The sequence below is a fragment of the Homo sapiens genome, chromosome 6 (assembly GCF_000001405.40).
Source record: "Homo sapiens chromosome 6, GRCh38.p14 Primary Assembly".
NCBI classification, from domain to species: Eukaryota; Metazoa; Chordata; class Mammalia; order Primates; family Hominidae; genus Homo; species Homo sapiens.
In genome coordinates this window covers 69,905,838-69,921,171 of record NC_000006.12, presented here as the reverse complement: position 1 = coordinate 69,921,171, position 15,334 = coordinate 69,905,838, and the positions used below count along the sequence as shown (strand labels likewise).

The following is a 15,334-nucleotide window of genomic DNA, read 5'->3' as shown; positions in this document are numbered from 1 at the left end:
TATATGAATATATACGTGATACATATGTGATATATATGTGATACATATGTGATATATATGTATATGAATATATGATATGTCTATGAATATATATGATATGTCTATGAATATATATGATATGTCTATGAATATATATGATATATATGAATATATATATGAATATATATGATATATATATGAATATATATATGAATATACATATGAATATACATATGAATATATATATGAATATACATATGAATATACATATGAATATATAGATGAATATATATATATGACTAGAAATTCTCAATGGGATGTTTCCTGCCTTCCCTCCATTTTATACATGTTGTATGTAGTTCAATGTCATAAATAAAAATTTTATCCACATAAATTAATACTAACCTACATTTGAAGAGCCTAGACTCAGTGAAATTTAAGTGTAATTTATCCTTTTTTTAAATTGTCTACTTTTCTACACATTAATTAAGGTCATCTAGATATTCATGGGCCTATGAGGGCACAAGTATATCAGATTAACAAAATGTTCAATATAAAATCAATATTTTCAAAATATGGCTAACTAAACATCATACAGTCAAACTAAAGTTGGTCGAAGTGCTCCAGGCATGTCAAGGGAAAATTGCTGCCTGGGAGTCCACTTCACACTGGCCTCTGAGGGAGGGAGCCAGCTCTAGATGTAATCTGGAGTATCTCTGAAGCCTTGTAATTCATATATCTTGGATTCCTTTAAACTTGTAATTCACTTCAATGTTGCAGAAATATAAAATGTAGCTTGCATCTGCTCTCTGACATTCTCTATGTACAGCAGCCCCCTGTTTAATCATAAAATGGAAGAAAACCATATGAAACTTCGGGGAAGTGACCAGGGGATCAGAAATAGCGCTCCTTAAAAATGACTAACTATAGTACAAGCAGTGTCCAGGTGTCAGAACCACTGCCAGTGAGGCTTTGACCCTAATAAAACATTTATTTCATAAAAATCTTAACATTAAAATGTTTCTTTCTTGGTGTTAAGATTAAGAAAGATTTTTATTTTTTTCTTTATATTTTCTCTACTTTCTCAGTTTTTGCAAGGGGCATGAATTGTGCTGATGATCAGGTTTTTAAAAATTACAACTATTCCCATCTTGGGAAAAATAACCCTAACCTCTGATGTGACCTATAAATTATCCCTATATTCTTCAAGGACAGAGATGAGGGAGAATTGGCACATACTGCACCCCCTCACACACCTAAAAGGGCACTAACAAATATTATTTTTTCTATTTTGGTAGGTAAAAATTAAGTTGCAAAAGTCTAGAACTCCCAACCTATAGCCTTTATAATAAGTAAATCACTGAAGCATTAGGAGAAAAAGCAAAACAAAAAACTTTCAAATAAAAACATACCTATGACAATATTTCACCCATTTACTTAAAATGGAATATCTAATTACAAAGTTACTAGTAGTAATATACATGGAGTTGGATAAAAAATAACATTTTATTAACTCTGAAGCAATTCCACTGTATAGGACTTTAAGAATGAATTATATTTGTCCAAATTCCATATTAACTTCATTCTCTAGATTTTTTCCTATCTGATTAATGAAAATTTTTTTTCTGGTCAAAATTTACTTAAAACCATTAGGAAATACAAACAGAATAAAACCTAAAAGTTTTCTGTATTACAGAAAAGATCTTGGCATGAGATAGAGGAAGCATTTGATCACTCTATATTTGTATAATTGTTATTAAATAGATTGTACATTCAACATTCTTCCTAACTATGAAGTGCTTTCATTAACAAGCCAAAACACCTAATTATCTACTTTTAGAGCTTTCTTCCTGTCTGGAAAATCCTCGTGTTTATAAAACACAAGCTCTGTTAATATTAAGATAGTCCCAAAAAGTCGGTCACACATTACTAACAAACTATGTAATAATTAATTCTCACCTTGGAAAGCACAGAGCAGAGATCTGTGGGGACTGCTATGAAGCAAAGTTCTAAGAGGGAAGACACAGAGAGAGAACAAATCCAGAGAAGGAAGCTCTCCTGAGTTAGACAGACAGAGATGAGATGCTGAGTCTTGGGCAGCAAATGTGTCACCTTAAGGCAGTGGGAGTTTGGGAGGAAAGTTCCAAAAAGGAGGGGATGTGAGATGCAACCAAGATAAACCTTGTCTATTTCTCTCTCCTGTGCTCTGGACTTACATACCTAAGTCCTTAGTAGGCATCTCCACGTGGAGGGGAAAGGCATTGTAATTAAATAACTGAAATTGAACGTTTTATATTGCTGCGTCAGAACATCCCTCCACAAGGATTCCACATCTCAATAAAAGACATGGCTATTCACTCAGGTGCCCCACCCAAATCCCTGCAAGTTATTATTTTTTCCTGCCTTTCCTTTATTATCCCCCATCCTATCTAACCCATCAGCAAGTCTTACTGGTTTTTGTGTTTTATTTTATGGGTTTATTTTTTTGCGGCAGGGTCTCACTCTGTCACCCAGGCAGGAGTGCAGAGGTGTGGTCATGGTTCATTGCAGCCTCAACCTCCCAGGCTCAAGTGATCCTCCCACTTCAGCCTCCTATGTAGCTGGGACCATAGGCACGTGCAGCCATACCTGGCTAATTTTTTGTATTTTTTATTTTTTTGTAGAGATGGAATTTCGCCATGTTTCCTAGGCGGGTCTCAAACTCCTGGCCTCAAGCGATACATCTGCATTGGCCTCCCCAAGTTCTGGGATTACAGGCATGAGCCACCACCCCAAGCCCTTACTGTTTTTATCACCAAAACAGATCTTGACTCTGGCTACTTCTCTCCATCTCCACTATCACCATGCTATCCCAAGCGGCCACCATCTCTCCCCAGGACTCCTGTTATAGTGTCCTGATTGTCCTCCTTCTTTGCCTTTCCTTACAGTCTGGCCTGCACATAGCAGCTAGAATGAGCTTTTAAAATCAGACCAGGTCCCTCCCTTACTTATAACCTTCTAAAAGTGTTGCATGGTTCCTAGAATAAGATGCATTTCTCTGACCATGACTCATAAGGTATGATGTGATCTGACTCCTGCCTTCCTCTGACACATCATCTCCTATTCCAGTCTCTGTGTGGCACCCAGGCTCCAGGCACAATGACTTGAGTTTTGTTCCTTGAACACACTAGGCTCATTGAGACCTTGGGCCTTTGTACTTCCTGTTTCCTCTCCTGGGACAGTCTTTCCCAGAGGTCTTCATTTACATCAAGATTACTCAACTCACCGCCCACTGGCCACATGCAGCTCAGGATGGCTTTGAAGCAGCCCAAACACAAAGTTGTAAACTTTCTTAAAACATTATGAGATTTTTTTGTGATTTTTTTTTAGCTCATCAGCTATCATTACTGTTAGTATATTTCATGTGTGGTCCAAGACAATTCTTCTTCTTCCAAAGTGGCTCAGGGAAGCCAAAAGATTCGACACCCTTGATTTAGATGGCTTTTCCTTACTGTTCAGGTCTCAGCTCAAATATCACTTCCCTTGAACGGTCTAAGATTGTCCTCACCCTAGTCACCATCTAACACATTACCTTGTTCTGTTTTCTTCATAGGTTTGTGCCTACCTGACTTTTTAAGAATTATTGGTTTACATATTTATTGCCCGTTTTGTGGAATGTGATTTCCACAAAAACAGGGTCCTGTAAGACTTGTGGCTGTAAATCAAGCATCTAGACTAGTACCTTGCATATAGGAAGCATCCATAAAGATTTGTTCCATTCATGAAAATCCACAATGATGCCTATAACCAGTCCTAGTAAGTGCTTAACACTTACGTTGCTCAGCATAAAATCTATGTTATCTTGCATAAGGCCTTAACGTGGAGGCCTTATGAGACTGTGCTATATCACATTCATCAGGAAAACAACAGATGGAAAAGTCAAATCCTATGTGATTCTAAAGCAGGTTAATCAAAAACTTTGATAGAAAAAGAAGTCCTTAACAAACACATCAGTTTCTTAATTTCAAAAAGAAGTTTAAAATCTCTACAGGCTGAAGCAAAATATAATAGCTGCTCCAATATTTCACCAAAAGTGTCTTCATAGAAGTCTTCAAGTCCTTGGAAATGTGTTGGTCATAAGAAACCACACATCATAGTTTCCTGTAGTTCTATACTCCTAAAGCTGAAAGGGACTTTGATAGTAATTTAGATCAATCATCTCACTTCATAAATGAGAAATTAAAGCTGCAGACGTTAAATAACTACCTCACCTTTACTCTGCCAGAGGTCAGGTTGGAACTTGAACTTATGACTTTTAATTCCAAGGTTAGTTTCTTCCAATGTATCAAGTTGCTTGTATCTTTTTGAGCTTTCTTTTTTGGTTAAGAATAAAATTCCCCTCATCATTACCAACCTGACTTAAAAGTAATATTTTGGCACTATGAGGGGAAAAATGTCTCTATTTTCATAAGTATTAAGGAGGGATATAAGTAAATATATTAATTTCAAGAAATGAATAAATAAAATGTTTACAATCACACTATAATATTAACAACAACAATGAATCATATTTTGGGCTCCAAGCAAAGTATTTATTCTGACATTTGCACATCCTACGTGGCTAGTAGCCCTGAAAGGTAAATTATTATAGTTCCTTCCTCTAATGATATTTTGAGCATAGATCAGGAAGTATCACAAAACACACAGTTATGACTTCAAAATAGAAATTACTGCCTATTGGATTTTGGAAAAGATAGCCATGCTAAACAAGATGAAAAAAAATCAGGAATATTTTCTCTCTAATTCCTTAGATCATTTTCTAGAAAACTTAGAAGTTTTCACCAAACATTTCTTTTCTTTTTAATTTTCATTTTTATTTTAAGTCCTGGGGTACATGTGCAGCATGCACAGTTTTGTTACATAGGTAAACATGTGCCATGGTTCACCAAGCATTTCCTTAAAGATGAGTGTAATTTAAAGCTGGGCGCGGTGGCTCCCGCCTGTAATCCCTGCACTTTGGGAGGCCGAGGCGGGCAGATCACAAGGTCAGGAGATCAAGACCATCCTGGCTAACACGGTGAAACCCCATCTCTACTAATAATACAAAAAATTAGCCAGGCATGGTGGCAGATGCCTGTAGTCCCAGCTACTTGGGAGGCTGAGGCAGGAGAATGGCGTGAACCTGGGAGGCAGAGCTTGCAGTGAGCTGAGATCGCGCCACTGCACTCCAGCCTGGGCGACAGCAAGACTCTGTCTAAAAAAAAAAAAAAAAAAAAAAAGATGAGATGAGTGTAATTTTCAGGAAGTAGTAGTGAAAATCATGAGAACAGTATGTATACTAGTAACTAGGTAATGTGAAGAAAGGTAAAACGTGTTCTGATAAATAGTACCTCTGTATTTATTTTCCTAATGAAAAGTAATACATTGGGATTTTCATACTTTGGGAAGAACAACAGTAGAATGGTAACGTAACTAAAAGATAAGTAATTTATTCAAACGTGAAAATAATGATCATGTGACTATCTCAAATGATGATGGAAAGAAAGAGAAACTTTTGCACCAATCCTACATTATGGTTTTCCTGGCACACAGTAAACTTTCATTCTATTCATTCCCTGAATTGTGAAATCAGGGCCTGCCATTGTTATCTACAAAGTTAACTTAATGAAGGTGAAGTATCTGGTCTCCCAGCAACAGAGGGTATCAACTGAACAAATAATGAGCATTCCCGGCTGTCCAATTAATGAGAAGCCAATAAAAACTGCCTTAAGAGGATAAACTTTGCTTTTCAGACTCCCTTCCAATGGTTAGCATTGTAAGTATGACAAAGTTGGGGAAAAGCAGAAAATTTTAAAATTAATTCACTATTTTAAAGTACATGCTCATATTTATTGACAGTTGTTTTATGGGGAGATAGAAGCAGACAGTAGGTTGCATTTGTTCTCCATGACTAGGCCCTGGTGGGTTGTTGTCAAGAAACTTAAAGACAATAATGAAGCTCATAAATTTGTTTACTTATTAGTATATTAAGTAATTAGCAATTTCATTGTATAGCAAGTCCAAATTTGATGTTTTTGTTCAGTGTTCCTAAAAGAACCACAGTTTGTAATATGGTTACGTCTCTGTGTAGTAACAGTTCGGTTTCAAATATACAAAAAGGAAAGGATAAACCAAGCTACAGAACAAGAAAGGATTAGGAAGAAAATTCATGATTACCAGTTTCCTGTTTGATCTTTTGCTTAAATAAATAATAAGGAATGTGAGACAAGAACTAAAATATAAAAAAAAGATGAAGAAACTTTTATAATTTCAGTGCTCATGAACTGAAAAGCAAGATGACATTGTTATTCTAGAGAAATTTCATTTCATAAATGATGTTCTAAAAATTGAGTGTGAGATACATTCACATAGCAAAGTGTTTAAAAAGTTTAATTACTGATTACAGTGGTTCCGGAGGTAATTCTTCAACCAGCTCAAAGCATAAGCCTTGAAAGCAAAGTGCTATTTTGATAGAGCTAGAGTGAATTTTCCAGATCATATTTAAAAGACTAAGCTTTATTTATTTGTTTAACAAGACCAAGCTTTATTTATTTAATTTTGCTTATAAAATTAAATGGCTAAATGGAAAAAAATCGATTTTTAAATATCAAGAACTGGCTTCCAAATTAATTCTGCCATTCCGAGTAAGTGTGAGGCAGGGTTTAGGAAGAACTTCCGTATTTACAAGTATCAGTGAGGCCTCTGACTTGCTGAATATCTTCCAGGAAGAGAAATATGATACAAGTTACATTTCCTGAGAGTGAAGTGAGAGATGCTTGGAGTTTATAGTAAGTCATTTCTTTCCCAGCTGACACCCACCATCACCTGTCAGTTACAAGCAATTTGGCTAGCAGGGCCTAGAGGGTTTGTCTGAAATGCCTTCCTCCCAGGCTGGTTGATGATGTTGGAGTTCCACAGCCACAGAGACTCTGAAATCTTAGCCCTTTTGTGTTTGCTGAGGGGATTCAGGCAGATAGGTTGTTAATGGGAAAACAAAGCTTGGATGACCCTCTAACAATCTCACGCCTGATCTGATTAGCACTAGTTCAATGTGGCATTGTAAACGACTTCCCATTGAAAACAAGTCCCCCTACTGGATGCCATCCAGATAACAAAAACCAAGGATAAATTAGACAGTCTGCTCTTTAGAAATGAGGATACATTGAAGGTTAGTTTTTTCTGGTGTCCCTCAGCCAGGAAAGGGTTTTTTTTTTTTTAACCCTGGATTAAACCCAACCCTGCCCGCAAAAGGTCCTCTAAATTCTGAAGTATCCTTGGGTCCGAGAGCTCAACTGTTGCTTTAGGATCAGCCTGGGAGGTCCTAGACCTAATTGAAAGCTGAGATTTTCCCAATGGCATATGCGCTCAGCTGTTTTTTTCTAGCATGTAGTGCTATTGCTACTACACCTCCACTTTTTTTTAAAATATGAATAAAGTTCAAACCCCTCATGCCAGCAAGTAAGACCTTTCAGAACAGCCCACACTTTCAAGTCTTCTCTACCTCCAGACATTCTTCTCACCTGTGTTCATTAACCACATGGGATTTCTCACTATTCCTCAAATTGCTTTGACCTTTAAAACTACCATGATGCTCCCTCTAACTACCACAACATACATTGACCCCTTGGCTCACCTGGTAAATTCACACTTCAAGGCTCAACTTTTCACTTCCTCTATGAAGCTTTTCCTGGCTTCATCTGTTCTCTCAGAGTTTATCATACATATATCTAAAAATTGCTATTATATGCCATAACAGCTTATTTTTGGCCTGTCCTTCCAAACAGAAATAATTCAATGGAGGGGACTGTTTCTATTCACCCTTAAATTCTCAGGGTTTAGCATATAATATTTACTATCATTTGGGAATTGAATGAAATACTTTGTTAGTATTTATTCTTTCACTGGCATCAAAGCTGAAGGTAGAAATAATAATGACAATATAACATAAAATATTTTTTCTCAATATAGCCCTCTTAACCAAAAGAAACTTTACATTCTTATTGTGGGTAAATCAGAAGAGAGAGGCAAACTTGAGGATAACAGAGAGAATTGCCTCGTATTCATACTTTTTATTTTTTAATTTTTTGAGACAGGGTCTCACTCTGTCACTCAGGCTGGAGTGTAGTGGCATGATCAGGGCTCACTGCAGCCTCAACCTCCCTGGGCTCAAGCAATCCTCCCACCTGAGGCTCCTGAGTAGCTATGACTACAGGCATACACCACCATACCTGGCTAACTTTTTTGTATTTTGTAGAGACAGGGTTTTGCTATGTTACTCAAGCTGATCTCGAACTCCTGGGCTCAAGCGATCTGCCTGCCTTGGCCTCCCAAAGTGCTAGGATTACTGGTGTGAGCCACCGTGCCTGGCCTCTACTGGCTTTTGAGACTCACAAATGATGGTGAGCCAGGAGTTGATAGGACTATATTTATTAAACACTCTGTGAGGCTCTGTGCCCAAGATACACTGCCTCAGGGCCCAGGGGACAGTTAGAGAAGGGGTCTTTAGATCTCTGCCACCACCTTCCAAAGCACACATGCACACCTCACACAGTCATAAGCCACAGGGTAATTCTGGCACCTGTGGGCCAAGAATGAGCAGCCATGAGCAGAGGTTGGTTGGGTCTCACAGAGTAGCATTTGCATGGAGAGAGCTCCCAGCAATGGCAATAGCAACACGCATTGATAAGAAAATTAGAAAACAAGAAGAAAAGCATATCTGCTTTTGAACATGAACACATGTGCATCACTTTTCGGGCTCCCAGAAATAACAACAGTAGGTTTTAAGCAGTGATGTATGTAGAAAGTAGAAGTAATATCAATTTACGCATTGATGTTAATATAATATCATTTAAATCCACATATTAACGAGGCCTGAGAACATTTAGATTACACAAGTCAGAATGAGATCAGAATTATGTAAGAATTATGGAAAAAGTGGTATTGGACCACCAAAAAAAGAAGGAAACTTGAAGGACATTAGTGAGGGCTTAGTGTAGAATGTAGCATGTGTACTAAGCTTTCTAGGATATGTAGGATTCCAATGGGCAGAAAAGGTGGGCATGGTATGACAGAGAGAGACAGAAATGGGTTAACAAAGGAAGTTTAGTGCAACACCTAGGTCAACGCTGGCATTGGAATTAGGACAGCTGTCACCGGCAACTATGAGGCAGAAATTTCCATAGTGTTCAAGAAGTCCTAGTCAGATTTTAATGGGCTAAGGGATGTGTGAAGAAGTAAAAGTGGACAGTAACATTGTTCCTTTAAGAAGTCTGTGAGTAAAGGGGACTGCCCAGGGAAAATGTTTCTGTAATAGGGAAGGATTAAGTATATATTTGTAGAGTAAGAGGCCAGGATACTGTGGAGAGGAGCACTGAAGACCCAAGAGCAGGGGGATCATGGGTGGATCAAGGTCTTAGAGGAGGCTGGCTAGGAGAGGATTAAGAGCACAAGTGAAGGGGTTAACCTTTGAAAGAAGGGGGGTTGCCTCCAGGGAGAACAGCTGAAATTAAGAAATTATGAAGTAGAGAGAAGAAGTTGAGATTGTTCAAATAAGAAAAATAACTTGAACACAAAACATCTGGTCAACTCAGTCTCAAATTCAACCAGCCAGATGTTAATTCTGCATGGCATCACCACATGTGTTCATATTAACATTTTCACTGAACTTATGATGTTTCCAAATTACTTAGATATAGCCAGGGTGAAAGGAATTAATCAAGTCAATTATTTGAATATTTTATTACTTTAGTCTAAAATTATTAAAATGTCACCTAATTTGGGGGAAAAAAAAGTGTCTTAGGAAACATAAGTGCTGACCTAAATGAGATAATGAACAAGATGTAGGAAACTTACAGGAATCACATAAAATAACATAAGCATAGTTTTTCTGCTACCATGTTTATTTTCTAATTAGCATTTGTGGCTAAGTTGAAAGAATTGAAATGACAATAAAGTAATGATTTATCAGTTGGCACAATTATTCTTCCTTGGTTGACATAGATTTCAAAGTTTATTATTGAAATTATAATTATATCCTACAGTCTGACTGTGTCTGAGAAGGAGGATTAGACTATTTGATGCTATTTTGTGATACACAGAGTCCAATCAGCCTACAGAAAAATCTTTAGAGTTGTTATAAAGCTATGCTGAAGCACTAGTATAACAAAGCATCAAGCACTATTAAAGGTCAATTCTCTAATTCATAAATTTAAGACCATGCTTATTTGTAGGTTTACAACCATTATAAATCAACGCATTTGCAACCACCTAAGGATAATAACTAATTAGTCCTCAAATAGCATTTTTATGAGCCAAATTAAGATTAAAGATAAGACTGAAGTACATGCTTACATGCCTTTCTTTTGTACACTCTGAAAATCTGCAGTGTACACTGCACAGATACATTCACACAACCCTACCAGGCGAAAAGCTCTGCTGTCCCTTACAAGATTGATTCATAGGATAAAAGAATGACTGGAAAAAGAAAAAAATCTAATATATAATCCAACAATAGAGGTAGATTAATCAATGCCTATTAGACTGGCCCAAGTAATTATCAAAATAGAACACTTTAGTTTCATTACTTTATGAGAACATTTGCTTTATTATGACTCCTAAGTAGTACATTTAGCTAGTACCTCACTACTATCAAAGTAAATGGCATATAGACATAACAAGATAATTTACATGTAATTAGTCATAATAAAGTAGAAATTAATTCTGGATTTGGAGACAGAAGAACTGAGTTCTAGACACAACTGTTTATTATTTTTGAAATTTTAGGTGAATTCCTTAATGTCATTCAACCTCATTTTTCATCTATAAAATGGTGATAAAGTACTACATCACAGAAGTCATTGTGGTACCATTGATACAAGAAGGCAAAATTACTTTGTAAATCATATAACATTCATAAATGTAAGGTGGTATTATAAGAATCATTATCATTGTTGGAAACTGGGTAGTCACATGTGCCTTGTTCTTAAGTCTTCTTTGGTGAAAAGATCTAGTACAAGAATTAGAAGTAAGGTGCCTTATTTTTTGAGGTGCTGGTGAAAAGAAATTATTGGTTGCCTAAAATATGCAAGTAGCTGTACCAATAAATTTCAAATATCCCTTCAATTTAAACTTAAGATCATACCAATTCAACTAGCACTAAACACCACTGTGTGTCAGGTACCACGAGGGACACAAACATGAATCAGTTGGATGTAATCTCTACCCTGTAAGGCTTATATATCTGAACAATTTCCTGCCTGGCCAAAGAATGGGAGTTCTGATGTGAGCAATGGAGTCTAAAGAAAAATAATACCTTTCCGATTATATGATACCATATGAGAGGCCTATTACCTATTTTGAATGACCGTAGACTTTCATTAGAACTTAAGCCATCTGGATGTGGTGGGGAAAATCGTATATCAGTTCTTCAAAATTTTTGCCAGGGGCTTATGTAATGTTTGTGAGCATCAGAGAAAATCAAACTGCCTGCCACCTTGGATATGGATAAATTGGGTTGTCAATGTTTTACTCATATAGAAATTATCTCATGTAATTATATTTATTGTATTTTTCCATGTCTTAACCTCCTAGGGCCTTCCCTCACCTTAGATGTCTTTCTTCTCCCCAGAACTTGATTCATCTCTGACTCTCAGTAGTCTCTTCAGTTTTCAAAGCCTAGTTTAAATCCCATAGTCTTCAAGATATTTTTTTATCATCCCAAATATAAGAGATTTTGTCTTTATATTTGTTCCGTTGAACATTTAAAGCATTAACTGTATGCTTATAATTATAATTATAATTAAGTCTGTCTTCATTTCTTGCCCCTAAGAGGAGAGATATCACACACTCCCTAGAGGCAAGAACCGTATCTTATACCTCTTTCTGCAAACTCTTTACTAATGTTCTGTCCTGTGTTTCAACAAGACAAGTGAAAAACTACTCCTTTTTTCCTCAGAAATGAGAACCTACCCTCTTTTCCTTAGAAAGTTTATGTACATTTGAGGCTAGAAAATGGATAAGTTTGTAAATGAATTGCAGCTTCTCACTTTCATTCCATTTTATGTGAGGCTTTTTTGGGTAATTTAATTGTTAAGAATACATTCTTTGAAGGCAATAATAGTGACATTATTGTTTCTTACTATAGGAACTTTAGTTTCTTAAATGTATAAATAGATTTATGGTTTTTCCATTTTAACTCATGTGAAACACAAAAATATTTTAATTTTATAAGATTTTATCTACTAATGTCCACAAATAGACATTAAACTTAAAACATTTCTGTACCTTTTAAACAAACTTATTTCTCTCTGGCTAATAAATGAATGGTCAAGTCCAAGAAAAAACTTTAAGTCATATGAATGTTGTAGAATTTATACACATATGATTAATTACTGATATGTTCTACTTTTCCCAATACTGAGTTATATGAAATCTGAAAGAGCAAAATCACAACTTACTTAAATTTGATAATGATAACATCAAATGTTTCCAAAATCAGTAAATAACAATACTGAACTAATAATATTTCATATTACATTACATCTTAATAGCTATTTCTATACTAAGAAATTTATTGCTGCCTATTAACAATTCTGAATTTTCTAGAAAAAATAAAATAGGTGCTTTTGACTATTGAGTAGTAAATATTTGTATATGTTCTTTCCATTTAAAAAAAGTATGACTTAATGACTAACCTCAGATTCTTGGTATGCCAAACTGCAATGAAGGAAATACAGTGATGACATAATCATGTATAACAGTCATACAATCTCATAAAAACAGCTGGACAACTTTGTAACTAAGTCACCTATCCTTATATAGGAAAATTCCTATCTACACAATGAAGGAATGCCCCAAATGAAAACCCAAGGGATGCATAAATAGGCATTCTCTAGAGCTTAATGGAATTGTAAAGTAATCCTTCTAAAACACTCAGCAAGGAGACACTTCGATATCAGAGTTCTGAACAAGTTTTCAGCCTCTGAATTTGTTTTGAGAACTTGGAGAGGACTCAAAGGAGAACTATGCATTACAAAATAGTCCCTCAAAATAGTCCCTTAAGAGGCAAGGAATGAAAACATTGAAAATTAGCCTTGTGCATGATGCTTAAGGAAGTTTAGCCTTTATAAGGGGTGAAATTTGAGTCATGCAGTCTAAGCTTGAACAATAGAAGGCAATACATCTCAGTTGCCTTCTATGAAGGCAAAGCAAGGGGGAAGTGTAGCTTTTCCTTGCACTGTGTATCTTTCTAGCAGGTTCCAGGAAGGAAAGACTAGATCCACATTCTTTTATCAATGTAAGCTCAGAACCTAGCAAAGTGCCTGGCCCATGGTGACACTCAACAAATGCTTGCTGAGTAAAAGGATAAGCTCTAGACTAGACTGCATTCATTTCAGTGACTTACCGAATGCTACCTCTTATTCACCCTTTAGCAAAACAGAAACATTTTAGGAACTTCTGTGAAAATTATACAGTAAACTACAGCTTCTATTTGTAACTGCACAAGTTTTAAGTTAAATAAAACACAAAATCTTAACATGATAATTCCTAGTGCTACAGAAGATATTGGAAAATATGCAGAATACATGGAGAAAACAATGATTGAACATAATTAGTAGTATATATCAAGATCCCTAAATATGAACAAGTAATTTTATTTCTAAAAGTCAATTGTATGAAAATAATCCTAAATACAGAAAAAAACAACTTTCTTGTATGTTGTAGTGTTATTTATAATGATAAAAATCAGCCGGGCGCAGTGGCTCATGCCTGTAATCCCAGCACTTTGGGGGGCCGAGGCGGGTGGATCACCTGAGGTCAGGAGTTTGAGACCAGCCTGGCTGACATGGTGAAACCCTGTCTCTACTAAAAATACAAAAATTAGCCAGGAGTGGTGGCACGCACCTGTAATCCCAGCTACTCAGGAGGCTGAGGCAGGAGAATCGTTTGAAACCGGGAGGTGGAGGTTGCAGTGAGCCGAGATGGTGCCACTGCACTCCAGCCTGGGCAACAGAGCTGGAGACTCTGTTTTTTTGGAGACTCCGTCTCAAAAAAAAAAAAAAAAAAAAATAATAATAATAATAATCTGAAGATAGTGTAAAGGTCCGTGTAGAAAAGGTAGTCCCATGGGATAAATCATTCAACAATAGAAAAGACAAGGTAAACATCATGTTACAACACATATGACAGTTTTGTCCATATTTTGGATTATTTTCAAGGGAACTGTTAAAGTCCAGAGTTCAAATATTTCTGAAAAACATTACACATCTTCCAAATTTGTAGTTTGGGTTTCCTACTTGCTAAAGATTATTATGTTTGTAAATCCATAAACATAATTTAGAATAGCTCCTACCAGCTACCTCTTATTTTCACATAAAGCTATGAAACTAAATTATCTTTACTTTCATAAAGTAGACACCAATTGAATGAGAGAGATACAGAGACACAGATAAAGAAGACTCCCTTTCACTAGAGATTTATTTATTTGTAACAAATACTAAGGGGATCATATATGTCATTTATGTCACTGTGTCTAGCTATATTATTCAAGCTCATAAATCGTATTAAATTTAATCTGTGTTATTTTTTCACACGTAGCCTCATTTCCCCTCATTCTTAGACACTGCTTCAATTGCAAAAGCCACCAGCTTACAGAAATCATCCTAATTCAGAGAGGCTATAGATATGGAACACATATGCTCACTCCTCCCTCCCTCTTTTTTTTAATGGGTCACAGCACTTTAAACCCACTATGGCTCCAGAATCCTTCTCAACATAGCATTCCAGACAGCCAGTAGCTATCAAGAGCCTAAGGGATAAGGCTCTTTACCATACTTGAATTAAACAATGAATCAGAAAACTCACTTCCTTGGTACATTTGAAATCAATTTCTTCATCGGCCAGTCAAGCTGAGTGTGTTGCTCCTTCAGAACCAACAGCATGTAGAAATTCAACATTCATCTAAAATATTCAATACTAAGACATTTTATTTGAATTTTCTATTGAAGCAACTAATGGAAGCTAGATAGAGACTACATTATGCCAAGAAAATAAGGTACTCTATAGTATGTGTGTTTGTGTGTGTTTTTATCTGTTTTTACTCAGTATTTTACCAATTTCCCCTGATAACTGCCAAAACACAATTTTAAAATAATCAAAATATAATCTTCTTTGCTATAGCTCTCAATATGTATACAAATAATGAATTATCTCTTTTAAATAACTAGGGATACTTGGAGATATAAGAAGCCAAGAAAATTTCCTCTAAACAAATAATTCTAGAGAACTAGGTAGCATGCCACCCAGAATCTTCTAAAGCCCCCAAATACTTACCATTTGC

General features: G+C 36.0%; 1 protein-coding gene across 8 annotated transcripts in view, besides 4 other annotated features; it reads right to left on the bottom strand.

The window, feature by feature from the left end:
* The window catches only part of COL19A1 (collagen type XIX alpha 1 chain), a 345,913-nt gene that overhangs the window by 291,297 nt on the left and 39,282 nt on the right, over positions 1-15,334 (bottom strand). The window lies entirely within an intron of this gene.
* Positions 2,602-3,801: an enhancer, noted in NCBI's record as "CDK7 strongly-dependent group 2 enhancer chr6:70627263-70628462 (GRCh37/hg19 assembly coordinates)". NCBI's record gives its function as "activates an origin of replication core promoter dependent on BRD2, BRD4, P300/CBP, MED14 and CDK7 cofactors, with strong dependence on CDK7, by STARR-seq in HCT116 cells {active_cell/tissue: HCT116}" and the evidence as "EXISTENCE:reporter gene assay evidence [ECO:0000049][PMID:35650434]".
* Positions 6,743-6,941: a silencer, noted in NCBI's record as "fragment chr6:70624123-70624321 (GRCh37/hg19 assembly coordinates)". NCBI's record gives its function as "represses an EF-1alpha promoter that drives an FKBP-Casp9 reporter gene in an ReSE screen in K562 erythroleukemia cells {active_cell/tissue: K562}" and the evidence as "EXISTENCE:reporter gene assay evidence [ECO:0000049][PMID:32094911]".
* Positions 6,743-7,266: a biological region, named in NCBI's record as "NANOG hESC enhancer GRCh37_chr6:70623798-70624319".
* Positions 6,745-7,266: an enhancer, noted in NCBI's record as "NANOG hESC enhancer chr6:70623798-70624319 (GRCh37/hg19 assembly coordinates)". NCBI's record gives its function as "activates a minimal SCP1, AML or CMV promoter by ChIP-STARR-seq in naive H9 embryonic stem cells {active_cell/tissue: H9 hESC(naive)}" and the evidence as "EXISTENCE:reporter gene assay evidence [ECO:0000049][PMID:30033119]".